We start from the raw sequence: 20,501 nt of genomic DNA on the forward strand, positions 1-20,501 counted from the left end.
TCCCTACTCATGTATATATAAATGCTGCTTGGCACAGGTTTCCAGACTTAAAATGTTGAAGAATAAAATAAAAAAAAAAGTTTGGGAAAATTCACTTAGCTGCTGGGGAATGGAAGAGTCTCCCATAAGGGGAAAGAAGATTGCTCAAAGGATGTTTTGCCCTTTAATAATTTAACGTGGCTTCCTATCAGCACTAGACTGAGTCTGTCACAGTGACTAGCATATACAATGTTACTTTTACTTGTATAACATTATAAGCTAATTGGTGTGTTCCAGTGTTTTCTTTAACAAGTGTTTCTCTGCTCATATATGTTTGCCAGCTCCTCTGATAAAGACCTAATTTGTTCCAGGAGTTGATGTACCATTCATGGTTTTACCAAATTAATTGTTGGTTTGGAATCATACCACGGATTTACTTTGTTGTTTTCAAAGGCGAAAATATTCAAAACTGTGAATCGTCATTTATTTACCATTTTAAATTAGTCATTTTATTAAGAATTAATATTTTGTCTTAGCTTGCATGCAAATAAGACACATTTTATGTGGACACATTTTTTTTCTGAGTGTGATAAGGCTGTTAACTTGGATGCAGACATGTTTTGGTACATTTATATTGACTAAAATAATGACTCTATTTTGTATTTTAAAGCCCTTTGAGATTCTGAACTTCCTTCTTCTCACAAATAAAGGTCATAGAAAAGATACTTTACATAAGTTATATGGATATATAACCTCATAGCCTAATAAAACTCTCTTAAATCTACACAAATGGGTTGTTACATATTGACTATCCATTTCTAATTAGAGAGCTGTTTCATGGCTCAGCTCAATGTGTCCATTAGATTACCAAACATCTCCAGAGCAGGAATGTTTAATAAATTATCTCTTAAGCATTATTAAAATAAGTCATACATATTTAGTAAGAACTCTTTTATAATAGTGTGATATATATTCACTGATTCTTACAACCTAATTGAAATATTAGTTAACTCTTTAAAAAAAGAAGAGCTTGTTTGACATAATAAAATGTAAGCCAGAGAATAATAAACTGTTTTTTTGCTCCACGTCAACCCATATTTAAAATCCCTGTTTAATATTGTGGTAAGTGTAACTCCACCTCTTATGAAGAAGGTCCTGGAAGAGTTGTTAATCTATACCCAAAATAAAGTGAGAATTATTTTCATATAGACTTAGTTTTTTCTGTTTGTATGTCAACAGAAAACACTAATTTTTTTTTTAGCTTGGGTTGGACATTTTCAGAGTGTATTAACCTATGGCCTGTGACATATTAGGTATTTTTTTGACAAAGGTAGGATAAGCAGTAGTGGTTGTCACCAACTTTATTATCCTCCACTTGATAATTCCTGCTTTTCAGGGCTGGCAGGGAAATCTTCCCTGCTCATCACAGTTCTGTCTGGAAAATGGAAGTAGCATCTTAACCTAGCTCAGAAAAGTTGAAGATCAAATGAGGTATTTGTACCTTGAATATAATTATTATGAAATTCAAAATGTATTTTCTCCCTCCTCTTATCCCTCCTATACCAAGTACAGTGCCATTTAACTCAGTAAGTCGAGCAGAATTTACTCCATCTCACAGACCTGACTTCACAGTCTTCATGTTTACTTCCAAGGCAACAAGTTTATGCTGGGAGAGCTTTTGAAAATGTAATGATAGATTTATTTTCACACAGGTAGAAAAAATGTTCCACTTGGCTTGATATAATAGGATATGTTTTGAAGCATTTCTACCCATTATATTATATTTCAAAGTATATTTTGTATATTTGACCTATTAATAAAATGCAGATGTTTTTCAACACTCAGTCTTTTACATATTTACATAATTTTTCAGAGTGTAAGGAGAAATGTACTGACCAGAATTTTCTTTCACATTTAACCAAGGCTTGGAAATAAAAATAAAAAATCCTGTTGAATTTCTAGCAGTTATATTTTTTTTTACCACTACTGTGAGAACTGATAGAGATAGAGGGGAAAATGGGAGAACTAGGGTATTTGGTGCAAAAGGTGCCATGCTAACCTCATTAGAATGTTTTCTTTTTCCTTGGGAGGAGATGGTAAGGAATGCTTTTTGCACGCCTAAGATATGAAAATGGCATGTAGAAAAAGAATAATGAAAACTACATTGGGGTGTGCATTCAACTCACAAAAACCTTTACTATAGGATTTTTGCATAGCACAATGTTGCTTGGCCTGTAGTAGGCAATTGAAAATGAATTTTTGTGTAAATATCAGTCTTGCTAATTTTACTTAAGTATGACTTAAAATATTTTGCCATCACACCTGCTATCTAAAGAAGAGTGGTATCTACCCCTTCTAAAAATTTTCCACACATAACCCACTCAGCATCAGCCATGCTGTCACATGTCATTGCTGCAAGTCTTGTCACTCTCCAACTGAGGGCTTTCCCTCAGCCCCCATGCAGGGCAGGTTGGACACGTCCAGAGGTTAGGTCTTGGCTAATAACATATTGAAATTGGAAGTAAATATCCAGCTCCCTTGTCCCCAAGATGAGATAAGTCTGAGGCATGTTTTATGTTGTCTGCCAGCATTCCCTAGCTAGGCAGTTGCCCAAAGTAACAAACTACTCAGCAACACACACTTGATTGGCTTCCACTCTTCTTTATCTTTCTTCTGCATTTCTTATGGGTGCTTCCTGAGATCAGCTCCCAAATAAACTACTTGCACTCGAGTCCTTGTCACAGGGTCTGATTTTGAGAGAGTTCAATCTAAGATACACACCTTCCACAAAATTTTGAAGGCACTAACAAAGGGAATATCATAGCACAGATACTGAAAGGATAAACTGGTTTTGTTTTGTTTGTGTGTGTGTTTAACAATTTCGAGTTTCTGTCAATCTTTTGAGACTTGGCAATGTAATGATTCCATTTTCCTAAGCCGTTAAGGATTGAGCGGGGTGGATATCCTAGGTTGAGAGGTGTAAACAATAAAGAGAACAGCTCTAATTATTTCACAGTGAAGCACTATAGGCATTTAGATGGCTACATAAATAATGTGTTTATGTCGGAGGACAGACTGGAACATGTGGGCTATTTCAGCATTGATTGAAACATAAATGAACATTGCAGACAATGTTACAGGATCCAGATAATCAGCTCAGCCACTGGCATGGCATTTGAGTAGACAAAGGAGTGGACAAATCAGGCTTTGAAGGGAATCATGTGCAAATGGGGCTCAGCGAGCCTCTTGTGGGCTCCAAGTATGGAGAAGGAAAAGCCAGGCTCTTCAGCTCTGCCAACACAGCCCAGTCACATTGTTCCTGGAGGTAATTTCCGAAAACACTTAAAAACATGTGAGCTTCCTGAGCACCCATACCAAGGCGGTCTGGTGAGCTTCTTACAGCCATCATAAAGAAGCCTAGTCACTTATCTGATTTCCAAAAGACACTTCTATATTCTCCTTGAGTAAGGTGTTTACAGTTTTGTGTGGGTATATATTCCATATTTACATCCAGCATATATTCTTCCTTACAAAATCAAAAGTCAGATAATTAAGAATAACTTTCATCACAGTAGTTGTAAGTAAAGGAATCATTGCATCATATGATTTTTATACAAAAGGTCGCTGCTTCTTGTGCATGAAGGGAATGATAGTTTCTTTCCTGACACATTGCAGAATTTAATCTTGAGACTATTTCATGTAAATGTGGGAAAACTTATTTTCAGAATTTCTGGAAGGTGAGTTTTCACATTGCAAATAGATAAATTCCAACATGAGGGCCTAAATTTCATCATTAGAAGCTAAATATAACCTGATACAAGTTCTGTGAGTATACCCAAGATCATTTGCTTAGTTATACCCAATACCAAAATAATTATCCCATGTGACTGATTTTTGCACTTTCAATATTCTGATCCTTACATTAACAAAATAAAGGGCCGGACGCGGTGGCTCACGCCTGTAATCCCAGTGCTTTGGGAGGCCGAGGCGGGTGGATCATGAGGTCAGGAGTTTCAAGACCAGCCTTGCCAAGGTGAGGAAACCCCGTCTCTACTAAAAATACAAAAATTAGCCAGGTGTGGTGGCGGGCGCCTGTAATCCCAGCTACTCGGAGGCTGAGGCAGAGAATTGCTTGAACCTAGGAGATGGAGGTTGCGGTGAGCCGAGATCACACCACTCCAGCCTGGCCAACAGAGCAAAACTCTGTCTCAAAACAAACAAACAAACAAACAATTAAGCAAAATAAAATACTACTGAAGCCCAAATAATAGCAAATGTTTACTGAAGTTCCATTCCCTAAACAAGTCTAGATGTAAATAGGATTTCTTCCTATTTTTATGAGTGTGTCCCATTATTACCTTCTCTGAAACTTTCTGCAGTCAGGCTCTTATCTTATTTAGAAATTTGTTTTTTAGGAGGGAAGGAAAAAAAAATCCAACTTAAGTTTCTGCACTTATTTTCTATATAAGGTTATAAAGTTATTCTTTAAAAACGAGTTCATTAAGATTTCATAATTATTTAAGCTTAACATTTGTTAATCTTAATTATCCTTTTTGGGTTCAGGAATGCAAGCCAACTGCACTCGTTGGCTAAGGAGAGGAAAGAAATTTCTTCTTTAACATCCTGGATTCCCTGAGGTGCCTGGGCTTTTGGCCAGCCTCCCTGGGAGAAATGTTCAGCTGCTGTGGCCTATAGACTCCTGCTATACAGAAGCCCAGAAATGTCTCTCTCACAGGCTGAAAATCAGCCACAGAAAGCCAGCTGTGTACAGGATAGTAGGATCCCAGCAACCCAGAGGATCAAGCCTATCAGAGCCTGCAGGGGCCCATTCCCTGAGGAGAACACCTTTCTTGTTACCTTTGCTCTCAGAGGAGCTCCAGCCACTTCTATTTATGTTGTGAAGGAAGCTTACTTCCAGTGGAGCCTCAGCCAGGTCAGATGGGCTTTAGAGAACTTCAGCATTAGACACCATTGTCTTGCTCTGAGATGGTTTTTAGGACTCTTTGTGGGGAATGGTAATGGCCAGGGCACACTGGAGGTTGACCTCCTTTTGCTTATGATGGCTGTTTGGAGCACATTAACAGCAAAGCCAACATTAATCTCCATGTCCTTGACATCGTTTCTACAATAGGCAGATCTGCATGTAAGTATCTCTAAACATATAAGGGAGCTTTTCTAAATGTTCCCTGCTTTCCTCACTCTAGTTTACATGTTGCAATTTTCTTCTCTGATAGCTGAAATTCCTTTCTAGGAAGCCTACATCGGGTATTATCCTTTACTAGTCTGAAGATAATAATCATGCACAAATGCAGCAAAAGCTTGAAATGGTTTTCAGTTATCAAATACCTATGCAAACACAGAAAGAATAATAAAATTTCTATAAGCAATGGCCACTGTAATAAGAGAGAAAATAGAACAGTGTAAAGAAACACCCATAAGTCACTTACTGGATTTTCTAAGAGTTATCTGATGGGAATGATACTATTGGCTTAATTTTTGACATGAAAAACAAGCAAAAAAGCAAAACACATTATCCATAGTTGTAACTCAAAAGAAGAAACATTTTATTATTTAAAAGAGGGGCAGAAAAAGATATATATAATGTTTGTAATTCCTTAGACATAGATACTTAATTATATACAAAAACATCCTATTAATGATTTAAAATGATGACTAATCCCTCTAAGTGTTTACTGCATGCCAAGGTCCTGTTCTAAGCCTTTTGTTATGATTACCGCCATTGGATCCTCCAGTAAGCTAGTGAATTAGTTCAATATTCAGGCGAGAACACAGGCTCAGTAGTTAAGTGACTTGGTTATTACTTACATACCTTAAGTGACTTAGTTATTACTTACATACCTCAGGTTTCTTATGCTAGAAGTGATAAAGCCATGATTTGGACCCAGATCAGTGAGAATCTTGTGTTGGCATGATCAGTCACTGCCTTACATTGCTTGACTTCTTTTTGAAATAAAATAAAACCTGCCTTTAACAGTTAAGTCGAAGAATACTGATATTATGAATTTATTAAGTGTTTCTCCCTTTATGCAATTCAACATCCTGAGCTCCTGAGCTATCTCCTTTTTTTTTTTTTTCCTGAGATGGAATCTTGCTCTATCACCCAGCCTAGAATGCAGTGACATGATCTTGGCTCACTGCAACCTGTGCCTACTGGGTTCAAGAGATTCTCCTGCCTCAGCCTCCTGAGTAGCTGGGACCACAGGAGCACACCACCATACCTGGCTAATTTTTATATATTTTGGTAGAGAGGGGTTTCACCATGTTGCTCAGGCTGGTTTTGAACTCCAGACCTCAGGTGATCTGCCCGCCTTGGCCTCCCAGAGTGCTGGGATTACAGGTGTGAGACACTGCACTGCCCTGAACTATCATCTAAGACTCTGCCTCTGGTGGTCTAAATCTAGGCTTCTAGATTCATTGTAGAGCTGGACATTGCCATGTTTCTGTTAAAGAATAAAAGCCACTATTACCTCTTTGCTCTTTCTCTTTTCACAGTGCCCTCACCCCAGTTCATAGAAGCATAAAAACATTTTTAAGGCACTTGAAGTCATGTTTCCTGTATAGATTACAAACTGATTATCATTTGGCTATATTTTAAGAAAACAACATGTTTTTAAAAAATGAATTGGAAACATTTAACTGGATAAATGGAAATTAAGCAATTCAGGAGTAGTCATTGCCACTATGTAATGGCTGTTTAAGAAAAATAGTTTACCTAATGTCTACTTTTTAAGTTAAAAGGAAAATTTCTAAGTTTAAACCTATTAATCACCGTGAAAACAGCATCCCTCCCCTCAAATATCCTAAACATGAAAAAAAAAATAAAGTCACATCTTTTTAAGGAATTCTGGTAATTGAGGCAGAAAGGAAATCATTCAGAAGACTTTAAAAGAAAATGAACTTTGTTTGAAAAGTTAGTATGGGTTAGAAATGGGAAGAAAATCTAAAATGTAAGAGTAAAAGCAAGGCCTTCATGGCATTCTCTTTTAATATGGGCTTTTCTGTGTTAGTTAACATCTGATAATATGACCCCCCAATCTATTAATATTTATTATACTCATAAAATTACAGAAAAAACCTAAGAAAGGGTATGTATTGAAGTGGAATGAATAAATGCAAAAAATGTAGTACTTATAACATTTTGAAGAAAATCTTTAAAAATTTTTGTTTACACAGAAAATAATCTTAGAAAACAGTTCCAGCATATATAAAATTATTGGTTTAGTATGCCAACTGTTAGACTGATTGTTTTAAACCAGGAAGCTAAATATTTGCTATATATAAAATGTCTGTTTTTTCCATTGTACCACCTACTTAAACAGCTTTGAATTCCACCTCCTCACCATTCTCAGCTTATAACATCTCCTGTCAATGCACAGAGAAAATCAAAACCAGAGAACAGAGGATCTCCCTGAATATCCAAGCACCACATCTAATGAGACACCTGCATTCCCAGCAATCCATTGATTCTTTAACCAGGTCAAAGTGGAGAAAACATCTCTCTACTTGTGCTGTCAAGATTTTTCTTTCATTATTTTCTCAGGAATCTTACCTCCTTCTCTATTCATGCTTCCCCACGTGCATTTAAAAGATTTACTTTCTGTCTTAATAACAAAACCAAAAGTGACTCAGTACCCCATATCCCATTTTAACTGCCACCCTTTCAGCTCCTATTCCACTTATAAACTTCCCAATATGGTAATCTAAACTGGGTCTGTTTTCCCAACTCCCATTCACTCCTCAGACAATTTGTAAGCTTTTTAATAAAGAGAATACCAATATTGAGCAAGTAATTATAGGAATATTTCATTTGAGGAATGAACTATCTCTTACAAAGTAGAATCTAATTTTTCAATGTTAAAATTTTGATTGACTCCAAAAATCCAGGCAGTGACATAGTTGATTCTAATGAGGTACTAAAGGTGAGACCTTCTCCTCTTGTGTATTACCCATGTGAAATAAAGGCGCACTTCCTCAAAGAAATTTAGGATCTGGTTATTTTGAACATATAAACAAATTAATTTTTTGGTTAAAATGTATTCCTAATTTCTATGAAAAAATATTTCGAAAATACTGTTCTTCAACATGTTGTTAAAGGGATTATTCTGATAAAATTGTCCCATAATTTCCAATTAGAACATTCCTAAAAATATATTTAATAGTTGAGTTTCTGAAAAAAAAAATAGACCAGTATCAAAAATGGGATTCATCTCTCTGAACGAAAAAATGATAAAATTTATAATTATTTTATAATTATTGAACATTTTTGAAGTATAGTTTGTAACATTTTAAAAAATTAAAACTGGATTCAACATTAAATTTAGAAAAATTCATGTATAAAATAATAGTTTTTCTGATCGACTTCTGAACACATGAATGTGCTACATTTTTGCTGTAATAGACTAAATAATTGCACAGTTTATTTGAACGACATTTAGTAAAATTAAAACGAGTGATTTGGATATTGAAAAGTATTTGGTAGCGATTTTGCAAGGGAATGAATAAGAGATTCTGATCCTTACTTTGGTGGATTCTTATCAATTTCCTTGAAGAATTTGTCAAAAGAAGTGTGAACTCTAAGTTTTCTTCTCTTGGTAAAGGAGCCTGTAATAATCATGTAACTACAACTCTAGAACTGTGAAGACCTCTCTGAATCTGAATTACTGGTGAGCTTTTTAGTCTTGATTTTAAACTTATAATTTAAAATGCTTGTTTGTTTCATTCATCACTAAATGGGGGCTTTCAGACAAAAATCTTCAATGGTAGAAATCTGGCAGTTCTTTTTGATATTTGGACTGTGTTATTTTTCCTCATAATTGAAAACAGAGCCAGTCAGCTTAGAATTTATCACTTTTGGCATGACTAACCATTTCTATTTTGTCTCAATTTCATTATGTCTAAAACAATGCCTCTATTTTCCATTTTCTGGCCTTTTTAAAAAATAAAGGCAAAGCACAATAAAACATTATTATGATTGCTCATTCGTTGCTACATAGACAAAAATGTACTTTATATGAGAGCATAGCCGTGCAAATCAGGCAGGCAGGTAGTCTCACTGTTTAATAGCAGCTGATAATGTAAATGTCATAATTTAGCGAAGAAAATAACATTTAAAAGTGTGAGTATATACGATGTGGCATGCATATTGGATATACGAAAAATTCATTTTAGGTGATATCCTAAACGCATGTCTGTGTCTGTATTATAAAATCCTTAGTTGAGGTCTGTGTATTCTTATTTCTACATATAGGACTATATTTAAAGATCACCTTGAGTAGGCTGGTATTCAGAAAATATTTAATGCATTATTAAATAAATGAATGATTATCTTTTTGAAATACCTGCTTGTTAGGAAACTCAATAATGGAGCAAGATAGGCAGCAATATTAAACTTAGAAAATACAGAGGGGATACTAAGAATGAGTATGTATAGTCAGAAGTTGAAAGAGTGATAGAGCTTTTTTAGGAGAGAATGTGATGCAGCAGAAAAAGTACATTTTGCAGTTCTGTACACCTGTGATCAGATTCTGCTTATGACATTTCAAGCACTGAGAATGTCAGTATATTACTTATATTCTGTTTCCCATTCATAAAACTGAGCCTCAGCTTTTTCATTACTAAAATAAGAATAATTATATTTATCCTATTGAATTTTGTGTGTAAAACACTTCTTAACTCAGTACTTCATGCTTGGTAGACATTCAGAAATTCTTATTTTTTTTTCTTAACTCGAGGAGTTGTACTTGTCCACTCCCTATGACATCTGTGACCTATTACTCCAAAGTTATGCTTTTTGAGTCCAGATTTTGACATTGGCTCAGTTGCCCAATCCCATTTTGAAATTTGATCAATGTTGCCTTGCTGGTGGGAGCTTCATGGAAGCAATCCAGGCCACAGTCGTCTTGATGGTGGCTTGGTGCTGTGGGCTCACATGTGACTGTGATTGATGAATGGTGCTTGAGCAGGTGCAAGATTTGGCTACATTATTCTGGTTGGAAATGCACTAGCACTCTGCTTCAGAGTGAACACTAATATTGATTCAAAATGCAATTCAAGCTATCAGCATAGGTTCTGAAATTCCTATAGGGTATGGGCCAAAATTACCATACATACAGTTCTTTTTTCTTTTTTATTAGCTTAATAGTTGAAATTTATAATAATATTTATTTAAAATTTTCCAGGTATATAGATAGAAAATCTGTATCTTTGAAATTCTCTACTTGTTTTGATTGTCTTAGTTCATGACATTAGTTCATAGTGCAAGGCACATTACTTTATAATAGATGGTAGAGTGTCAGGCTGATAATCATGAGTAATCAATTATTTATAGATTGTCCACATGGCAACAAAAAATGTGCTTAACATTGCTGCCTGATGCTGGCTTCTATTTGTTATTGTTTAGAAATTTTCTGTGGTAGGTTTTAATTTACTCATACTTGAGGCTTTTTAATGTTAAATTTTTGATATATTAGATTTGAACATATTTATGGGATACATGTGAAATTTTGTTACGTACATAGATGTGTAATGATGAAGCCAGAGTACTTAGGGTCTCTGTCACCTCTTTATCATTTCTATGTGTCGGGTACATTTCATAGCTTTTCTGGCTATTTTGAAAAATGTAGTATATCGTGTTAACTGTAGTCCCCCGACTCTGCTATCAAACATTAGAACTTACATCTTCCGTCTTACTATATATTTGCATCCATTAACCAACCTCTCTTCATCAGTCCCTCTGCCTCACTACCCATCCATCCTTCTCAGCCTCTGGTATCTCTCATTCCACTCTCCACCTCTACGTGGTCTACTTCTGTAGCTCCCACATATGAGTGATAACATGTGATATTTGCATTCCTCTACCTGGCTTCTTTCACTTAACATAATAATCTCTAGTTCCATACATGTTGCTGCAAATGACACGATTTCATTCTTTTGTATGGTCAAATGATATCCACATTTTAAAAAGTCCCATTTATCCATTGATAGGCATTAAGGTTGATTCTATATCATTGAGATTGTGAATAGTGCTACAATAAACATGGGAATACATATATCTCTTTGATATATTGATTTCTTTTTTTTTGTTTTTTGGATAAATATCCAGAGTTGTGTTTTAGTTTGTTCTTGCATTGCTATGGAGAAATATCTGAGACTAGGTAATTTATAAGGAAAAGAGGTTTGATTGGCTCACAGGTCTGTAGGCTGGTCAGGAAGCATGGCTGGGGAGGCCTCAGGGAGCTTTTACTTGTGGAAGAAAGCAAAGCTGGAGGAGGCCTTTTCACATGGCTTGAGCGGGAAGAAGAGAGAGAGAAGGGAGGTGCTACGTACTTTTAAACCACCAAATTTCACAATAACTTACTCTCACCACACCACCACCAAGGGGGATGATGATAAACCATGAGAAACTGCCCCCCATGATCCAGTCACCTCCCACCAGGCCCCACCTCCAACATCGGGGCTTACAATTCCACATGAGATTTGGGTGAAAACACAGATCCAAGCCATATCAAGTGGGATTGCTGGATTGTATGGTAGTTCTGTTTTTAGTTTTTTGAGAAATCTCCACCCTGTTTTCTTTTTTTTTTTTTTTTTTTTTTTTTCTTTTTTCGAGATAGATTCTTGCTGTGTTGCCTAGGCTGGAGTGCAGTGGTGCGATCTCAGCTCACTGCAACCTCTGCCTTCCAGGTTCAAGCAATTCTCCTGCATCAGCCTCCTGAGTAGCTGGGCTTACAGACGTTTGCCACCACACCTGGCTAATTTTTCTATTTTTAGTAGAGATGGGCTTTCACCATGTTGGCTAGGCTGGTCTTGAGCTCCTGACCTTGTGGTCCACCCGCCTTGGCCTCCCAAAGTGCTAGGATTACAGGCATGAGCCAGTGTGCCAGGCCTTCCCTGTTTTCTATAGTGGCTGCACTAAATGTCTAAAAGTTCCTTTTTCTATACATGCTCACCAATATCTGTTTTTTTTTTTCTGTCTTTTTAGTAATCACCATTCTTACTGGAGTATGATGATATCTCATTGTGGTTTTAATTTGCATTTACCTGATGATTAGTGATGTTGAGTTTTTTTTTTTTTCAGTATACTTGCTGGCCATTCATATGTCTTCTTTTGAGAATTGTGTATTTATGTCTTTTGCCCACTTCTTAATTGGATTGTTTGTTTTTTCACTGTTGAGTTGTTTGAGGTCCCTGTATATTCTGCATATTAGCCCCCTGTTAGATGAGTGGTTTGTAAACATTTTCTCCCATTAAAAAGGTTTTCTCTTTACTCTGTTGATTGTTTGGCTGTACAGCAGCTTTTTAATTTAATGAAGTCCCATTTGTCTATTTTTATTTTTGTTGCCTGTCATTTTGAGATCTTAAAGATAAAATCCTTACCTAGACCAATGTCCTGAAGAGGTTTTTCTATGGTTTTGTCTGGTAGATTTATAGTCTTGAGACTTATGTTTCAGTCTTTAATCCAAATTGAGTTGATTTCTGTATATGGTAAGAGATAGAGGTCCAGTTTCATTCTTCTGTATATGGTTATCCAGTTTCCTAGTTTTCCCCTGCCCATTTATTTATTTATTTATTTATTGTAGAGACACAGTTTCACTCTATCGCCCAGGCTGGAGTGCAATGGTATGATCTGGGCTCACTGCAACCTCCGCCTCCCGGGTTCAAGCAATTCTCATGCCTCAGCCTCCTGAGTAGCTGGGATTACAGACATTCACCACAACACCCGGCTAATTTTTCTTTTATTAGTAGAGACAGGGTTTCGCCACGTTGGCCAGGCTGGTCTCTAACTCCTGACCTCAGGTGATCCTCCTGCCTCAGCCTCCCAAAGTGCTGGGGTTACAGGCATGAGCCAGGATGCCTGGCCGCAGTACCATTTATTGAAGAGGGTGTCCTTTCCCCAATGTATGTTCTTGACAGGTTTGTTGAAGATCGGTTTGCTATAAATATGTAGATTTATTTCTGGGTTCTCTATGCTGTTCCATTGATCTATATGTTTAATTTTATACCAATTCCATGCTGTTTTGTTTACTATACCTTGTAATATATTTTGGAGTCAGGTAGTGTGATGCTATTCTTTTTGCTCAAGACTGCTTTGGGCATTCTGGCTCTATTTTGGGTTTCATACAAATTTTATTTAGGCTTGTTTTTTCTCTTTCTGTGGAAAAATGACATTGGTATTTTGATAGAGATTGCATTGACTCTATAGACTACTTTGGGCAGTATGGTTATTTTAACAATGTGAATTCTTCTGATCCATGAATATAGGATGTCTTTCCATTTGTGTCCTCTTCAGTTTCTTTCGTCAATGTTTTATAGTTTTCCTTAGAGAGATCTTTATTCCTCGGTGTTTTTAAAACTATTGTAAATGGTATTGCCTTCTTGATTTCTGTTTTGGCTATTTCATTATAGGTGTATAGATATGCTACTGATTTTTGTATGTTGATTTTCTGTCCTGGAACTTAACTGAATTTGTTTATCAACTCTTAGAGATTTTTAGTGGAGTCTTTGTTTTTTTAAAATATAAGATCATGTCATCTGCAAAGAAGGACAGTTTGACTTCCTGTTCTCCCATGTGGATGCTTTTTGTTTCTTTCTCTTGCTGGATTGCTGTGGATAGGACTTCCAGTACTATGTTGAATAGGAGTGGTGAAAGTGGGCATCCTTGTCTTGTTACAGTTCTTACAGGAAAGGCTTTCAAATTTTCCCCATTCAGAATGTTGTTAGCTGTGGGTTTGTCATACATGCCATTTATTATTTTGAGTTATGTTTCTTCTGTGCCTGGTTTGTTGAGAATTTTTATCATGACGTGATGTTAAATTCATCAAATACTTTTTCTGCATCTATTGAGATGACCATGTAATTTCCACCTTCCTTCTGGTGATGTGATGTATTACATTTATTGATTTGTGTATTTTGAGCCATTCTTGCCTCCCTGGTATAAATCCCACTTAATCATGGTGTATTTTCTTTTCAAAGTGTTGTTGAGTTAGGTTTGCTAGTATTTTGTTAAGGATTTTTGTGCCTGTGTTCATCAGAGATGTTGACCTGTAGTTTTCTTTTCCTGTTGTGCCATTGTCTGGATTTGGTATCAGGGTAATGCTGACCTTGTATAATGAGTTAGAAAGGATTCCTTCTTCTTCAATTTTTTGGGAAAAGTTTAGAGAACACTGGTGTTAGTTCATCTTTATACGTTTGGTAGAATTTGGCAGTGAATTATTCTGATTCTGGGTTTTTCTTTGTTGCAAGACTTTATTACTGATTTAATCTCACTACTCATTTTTTGTCTATTCAGGTTTTCTTCCTGATTTAATTTTGGTAAGTTGTATGTTTATAGGAATTTATCCATTTCCTCTAGGTTGTCCAGTTCATTCACATATTTTGTTCATAATAATCTCTGAAGATCTTTTGTATTTCTGTGGTATCAGTTGTAATGTCTCCTTTTTATTTCTGATTTTATTTGTTTCTTCTTTCTTTTCTTGGTTACTCTAGCTAATGGTTTATTAATTTTATCTTTTTGAAGAACCAACTTTTCATGTATTTGATCGTTTGTAATTTTCTTAGTCTCTATTTTGTTTAGTACTCCTCTGATCTTCATTATTTATTTCCTTCTGCTTATTTTAGGTTAGGTTTTTTCTTGTTTTTCTAGTCCTTTGAGGTCTATCATTAGATTATATTACATTTTTCTACTTTTTTTATTTTATTTTTTTTAACCACGTCTCACTTGTCACCCAGGCTGAAGTGTAGTGGGATGATCGCAGCTCACTGCAAGCTCCGCCTCCTAGATTCAAACAATTCTCTTGCCTCAGCAACCCAAGTAGCTGGGTCTACAGGGGCGCACCACCACGCCTGGCTGATTTTTGTATTTTTAGTAGAGACAGGGTTTCACTGTGTTGGCCAGGCTGGTCTTCAACTCCTGACCTCAGGTGATCCACCTACCTCGGCCTCCCAAAGTGCTGGGATTACACGAGTGAGCCACCACGCCTGGTCACAGTCTTTATACTTTTTAAATGTAGGTGTTTTTTGCTATAAATTCTGTCTCAGGGAATCTTTTGCTCTACCCTACAGGTTTTGGTATGTTGTGTTTCCATTTTATTACAAGAATTTTTAAAATTTCCATCTTAATTTCTTCATTGACCCAGTGGTCATTCAGTAGCATGTTGTTTAATATCCATGTATTTGTATAGTTTCCAAAGTTTTTGATATTCAGTTTTAGTTTTATTCCGTACTGGTCTGAGTGGATTTCATGTTTTTTAAATCTGTTGAGACTTATTTTGTCACCTAACATAATGTGTATCCTGGAGAATGTTACATGTGCTGATAAGAAGAGTGTGTATTCTGCAGTTGTTAGACAAAATGTTCTGTAAATGTCTGTTAGTTCTGTTTAATCTAAAGTCCAGTTTAAATCCAGTGTTTCTTTGTTGATTTTCTGTCTTGAGGTTGAAGTTCCCCACTATTATTGTACTGCAGTCTGTCTCTTTCTTTAGATCTAGTAATATTTGCTTTATAAATCTGGGCGCTGCAATTTTGGATGCATATATATTTAGAACTTGATTATTTCTTGTAGGGCTGGTCTAGTAGGGATTAATTTCCTTAGCTTTGGTTTTTCTGGGAAAGACTTTATTTCTCCTTCATTTCCAAAGAATAATTTTGCTGGATATAGTATCCTTAACTGGCAGTTTTTGTTTTGTTTTTTTTTTTCCTCTTTCAGCCTTTGAATCTATGTCCCATTCTCTCAATGGCCTGTAAGGTTTCTGTTGAGAAATCTGCTGTTAGTCTGATGGGGGTTAATTAATAGATGATACTTTTGTCTTTCTGTTTTTAGAAGTCTGTTTTTGACTTTAGGCAGTTTGACCATAATGTGCATGGAGAAGTCCTTTTTTTGCCTTGTATCTGTTTGGACACATCTGTGCCTCCTGTATCTTATTGTCTAAATCTCTTGCTAGACTTGGGAAGTTTTCATCCATTATTTTGTTAAATAGGTTTTCTAACCCTTTCATTCCTTCTTCACTCTAGGACCCTGATAATTCATATATTTGGTTGCTTTATGGTGTCCCATATGTCACAAAGGCATTGCTCATTCTTTCAGATTCTTTTTTGTTTATTTTTGTCTGACTGGGTTATTTTAACAGACCTCTGTTCATGTTCTGAGATTCTTCTGCTAGATCTAGTCTATTGTTGAAGCTTTCAAATGTATCTTGTGGCCAGGCACAGTGACTCACACCTTTAATCTCAACACTTTGGGAGGCTGAGATGAGAGCCTTCCTTGAGCCCAAAAGTGTGATATCAGCCTGGGCAACATAGTGAGACCCTGTCTCTACAAAAAATATTTTAAAAATTAGTTGGGCATTGTGGCACGTGCCTGTAGTGCCAGCAACTTGGGTGGCTGAGGTGGGAGGATCACCTGAGCCCAGGAGGTTGAGGCCGCAGTGAGCCATGATCACACCACTGCACTCCAGTTTAAGCGACAGAGCGCGACCCAGCCTACCCGCACACTTCCCCAAAAATACAGATATGTTTTGTATTTCTTTCAATGAATTCTTCAGTTCCAGAGTTTGTTTGTATCTTTTTATGATATCAATCTCTTTGGTAAATTTCTCATTCATATTCTGAATTGTTATTCTGATTTCTTTATATTGTTTTTGGAATTCTCTTATATCTCATTGAGCTCCTTTAGATCAATATTTTGAATTCTTTTTCTGGGATTTTGTGAATTTCTTAAATTGGGTTCTGTTGCTGGATAATTATTGTATTCCTTTGAATGTATCAATTTGCCTTGCTTTTTTATGCTTCCTGTATCTTTATGTTCATATCTGCACATCTAGTGTGACAGTGTTTTTTTCCCAAATTTTAAAATTTACTTTCATATGGACGGATGTTTTTTTCTGAAGTTGTATCTGTGGTGTTGAGTGTAGCACTTGGGCTTCAATTCTGGATACATACAGTAGTACAGTCTGGTGTTATGATTTTTTTTGGGGGGGTATGTAAATAGCCTCAGAAGGGTCTATGATTTCCTTGGTGGCTTAGGCTGTGATTGTTAGTAGAGGCTGTGGCGAAGTTATTCTGGGGACTGGGATGACAGGTAGGCCAGCTTTGGGCCCTAATGATCACAGCGGGCTGAACATGCTTGCCCTTGAGCCCCATGGCAGCATATTGCTGGTGATGATGCCAGTAGGTCCAAGCAGGCTGATTCTTGAGCCTCCAGGTGGCTTGCTTGGGTGCTGGGGATGATGGCAGCAGTGGGCTGGGTGGGCGGATGGTTTCCCAAGTCCTTGGGCAGTGGTCATGGCATGAGCAGTAGTGGTAGCAGTGTTGGGACAACCCTCTGAGACCCATGTGGTCCATGCTGGTGTTGGCAGTGTATGTGATGGGTTGTACAAGCTGGTCCCTGGACCTGCAGGTGGCATACTGGAGTGGGTGCCAGCTGTAATAGTTGTGGCAGGTTGAGTGGGCCTGGCCTCAGACCCCAGGAGGCATGCTTAGGTGCTACCACTAGTGGGCTGGGCTGAGTGATCCCCAGGCTTCTGGATGGTATGCTGTAGTATTGGATTGGGGAGGAGGGCCAGAAACAGAGCCAGGCTGGGGCCCCCTGGTGGTACCTAAAGACACTGGCTGTGATTTGCAGGGATGGGGTGAGTCCCAGGCCACTGGTAGGGTGCTCAGTTGGAGGTAGCAGCAGCTGTGCTGCAACCCTGCTACTGAGGAAGGCAGAGTTGCTTTCCCTGGGAGCAGCCATAGGCGGGTGGCTTCCCCTCTGCCTTGCTCCACAGCAGTCTGCAGTTGCGGTGGTTGTAGGCAGTGGAATTTGTCCTTGAGGCCTCTGAGCATGCGCAGCTGCGTGGGATTGCAGCCCTGGTTGCAGGGCAGGATGCAGTCTGGTGAGGTGGGGGCTATGTTCGCTAAATGGTGCCATGCTGCTTCTGCCCTAGACTTGGGGGCTTGTGAGACCCAGTGTGAACTCTCTCTCTGTAGAAGTGACTTTTCATGGTTTCCAGGATGTTCCCTATGTTAATCTCAGAGTACACAATAGTCAAGGGGACCTCCCATGGCTAGGATTATAGGAGTCCACAGCAGGAATGTGGACTGCTGGGGGCTCTCACTTCCCCTTTTCCTGCAATGAGGAGTCTCTCCCAGCTCCTGGCCGATTCTGAGGCTTTTATTTTATTAGGATCCAAAACCAACAAGAACGATTTTTACCTAATAAATGTAACACACTTATTTGTTATGCAGAAATTACTGAAGCAATATATGAAAATGTAGAATTATGTAGTTACCTATTGCACTAATAGTGGCAGTTAAACAGTGTTAGGTTGCTAAATAAGACCTACAGTATCAGCAATGACAGTGCACACAAACATATATTTTATTGCAGGAAAATGATACAATATAGCAACAGCATTTAGTTAAGGATATGTGTCACATCCAAAGGCTGTTTCACAGCAGGAAGTTAGGAAAGGTAGGTGCATGCCCCAGTTGCCCTCTTTAGTAAAGATCATACAGGATGTACTTTCTCTCTCAGATCAGAAACCGCAGATGTGTGCACAAAACACTTCGGAACCAGGTATGCCCAAGTGGAGTCTTGGCCCAGATGACTCTGCTGGACATGTTGGCAGATTTTTGCCACATAGACAGCCCCACTAACAGGCCCTCTAAGGATCTCATAGAGAACAAATGCAAATCATCAATCTTACTGTTATCAGTTAAGCAGTGCTGACAAGCTGGTACAAATCTTTCCAAACTCCTTGGACCCACGGTTATAAAGCAACACTATTAATCAGTACATTTCATGCCTTACCTGGGTGTCTGCACTGTGCAGATATATTTTTTATTTTCATGAGACAGCTCAGGCAAATTCCAGGTCTGCTGGATTGCTGGATGTAGCTTTCACAAGCATACCTTTCCTAAAACAAGTTTCAGAAAACTTAATTCTAGGTAATGATGGCAAATTGAACCATGTGCATTTACTTTCACTCTTCCATGAAATTCTGTTAAAATGGTAGTAAAAGGAAGCTTTTTCAAAGGCATAAACTCACAAGGACAAAAACAAAAGAGGAGACAACAGCAACCCAATTTTGGAAAACAAAATGTGGATGAACAAGCGATAACTAACCTAGCAGTACTGAAATACTTAAACCCTAAAGTAATTATGCAGAAAGCCAAGAAGCTCCCTAGTTTACTTCATGGAGCCCAAAAGACAACAACTGGTGCCGACAGGTGCCTTTGGAAGTTAGTGTAAAGCAGGGCTAACACCAGGAGAATTGGTCAAAATTCTCTTTAAGAATTAGTTAAATCCCCAGACCTCTTACTGCCTCTGCTGATACTATCGCAGTACTGCACAGAGGCAGGAGTTGACAGTCTGAGAACCAGTGTTAGATTGATCGTTGAATCATGATTCTAAGGTGGCTTCCTCATGCTCACATAGCTAGTTAGTGACTGAGGCTTCATAAGCACTGGGTTCTGCATTTCTTTCTACCCACATTGAAACTACCTGATGACCTAGAATGGCAGTGTCAGGGAACTGTATAAGTAACAGGATAAAGCATCTCAAGATGCTGCTGGAACTGGACAATATCGTAAGAAATAATTGGCTTACAGAATGCATTAGATGACACTTAGAGAATTAGAAAGCAATGCATTTAGGTTATTGCAATACTTCAGGGAGGAAGTGAACTAGATTAGCCCAAACTATGGTGAAGTTACTGAGAATGGAAGCACAAGGACAGATTTAAAAAGGCTTAGAGAAAAAACAACCTGTCTTCTCAGAGTATTGTTTGGTGGCACCGAGAAACCTTCTTATTTAGGCTTAAGAAGCTTTTAAAATCTTTGCATTTTGAGAACTTTGCACTTTTTGTGTCATTATTTTTTTACTTTCCAGATAATACCTTATAAACTTTTATTCAAGTTCTTTTTAAAAAATTACATCAATTAGAATTTCATTATGTCAGTTACTATAATTGAATACAATTTAGAACATGATCCTATATATATATTGGATAATAAATACAACACACTGCAGTTCAACACATAATTTAGTTAATTATAATAATTAGTGTACTAGTGATCCTCAAAAATGACTTTACTCTGCACAAAAGAACTTAATGATAGCATGGACCATTTGGCAACTGACTGCCTTTAAGATTAGTATGGATGGAAAACTAACCATCTGGTATCTCCTCCTAATCTTCTAAGAGGAATAAGTTGGAAAGTAAAAGGACTCTATTCACTTTTAAATAGTCCCTGCAAGGTGGTTTAACCATGCTTTATAATTCATTATGTTAAAGACAGTTGATGAAGCATGAAGCAGTCATATCTGAAGTTCGTTTTAAAGGAGGTCATGAACTGATTCATTCAAGTTTGTAATTCCCTGTGAAATCAGCTTTAAACTAAAGATGTTTTGGGCCATATAAATGTGGACTAACATTGAAGCATATTTTCTCCTGTTACTTCCTTATTGAAGGAAGAAGTTGAAATGAGCAATAAAAATAATAAAAAGTTTACAATCCTTAAAT

General features: G+C 37.3%; 1 protein-coding gene across 2 annotated transcripts in view, besides 3 other annotated features; it reads left to right on the plus strand.

The window, feature by feature from the left end:
• The window catches only part of B3GALT1 (beta-1,3-galactosyltransferase 1), a 581,045-nt gene that overhangs the window by 21,130 nt on the left and 539,414 nt on the right, over nt 1-20,501 (plus strand). The window lies entirely within an intron of this gene.
• Nucleotides 16,813-17,586: an enhancer, noted in NCBI's record as "H3K27ac-H3K4me1 hESC enhancer chr2:168187453-168188226 (GRCh37/hg19 assembly coordinates)". NCBI's record gives its function as "activates a minimal SCP1, AML or CMV promoter by ChIP-STARR-seq in naive H9 embryonic stem cells {active_cell/tissue: H9 hESC(naive)}" and the evidence as "EXISTENCE:reporter gene assay evidence [ECO:0000049][PMID:30033119]".
• Nucleotides 17,587-18,358: an enhancer, noted in NCBI's record as "OCT4-NANOG-H3K27ac-H3K4me1 hESC enhancer chr2:168188227-168188998 (GRCh37/hg19 assembly coordinates)". NCBI's record gives its function as "activates a minimal SCP1, AML or CMV promoter by ChIP-STARR-seq in naive and primed H9 embryonic stem cells {active_cell/tissue: H9 hESC(naive and primed)}" and the evidence as "EXISTENCE:reporter gene assay evidence [ECO:0000049][PMID:30033119]".
• Nucleotides 18,359-19,130: an enhancer, noted in NCBI's record as "NANOG-H3K4me1 hESC enhancer chr2:168188999-168189770 (GRCh37/hg19 assembly coordinates)". NCBI's record gives its function as "activates a minimal SCP1, AML or CMV promoter by ChIP-STARR-seq in naive H9 embryonic stem cells {active_cell/tissue: H9 hESC(naive)}" and the evidence as "EXISTENCE:reporter gene assay evidence [ECO:0000049][PMID:30033119]".

Source organism: Homo sapiens, chromosome 2 (genome assembly GCF_000001405.40).
Source record: "Homo sapiens chromosome 2, GRCh38.p14 Primary Assembly".
NCBI classification, from domain to species: Eukaryota; Metazoa; Chordata; class Mammalia; order Primates; family Hominidae; genus Homo; species Homo sapiens.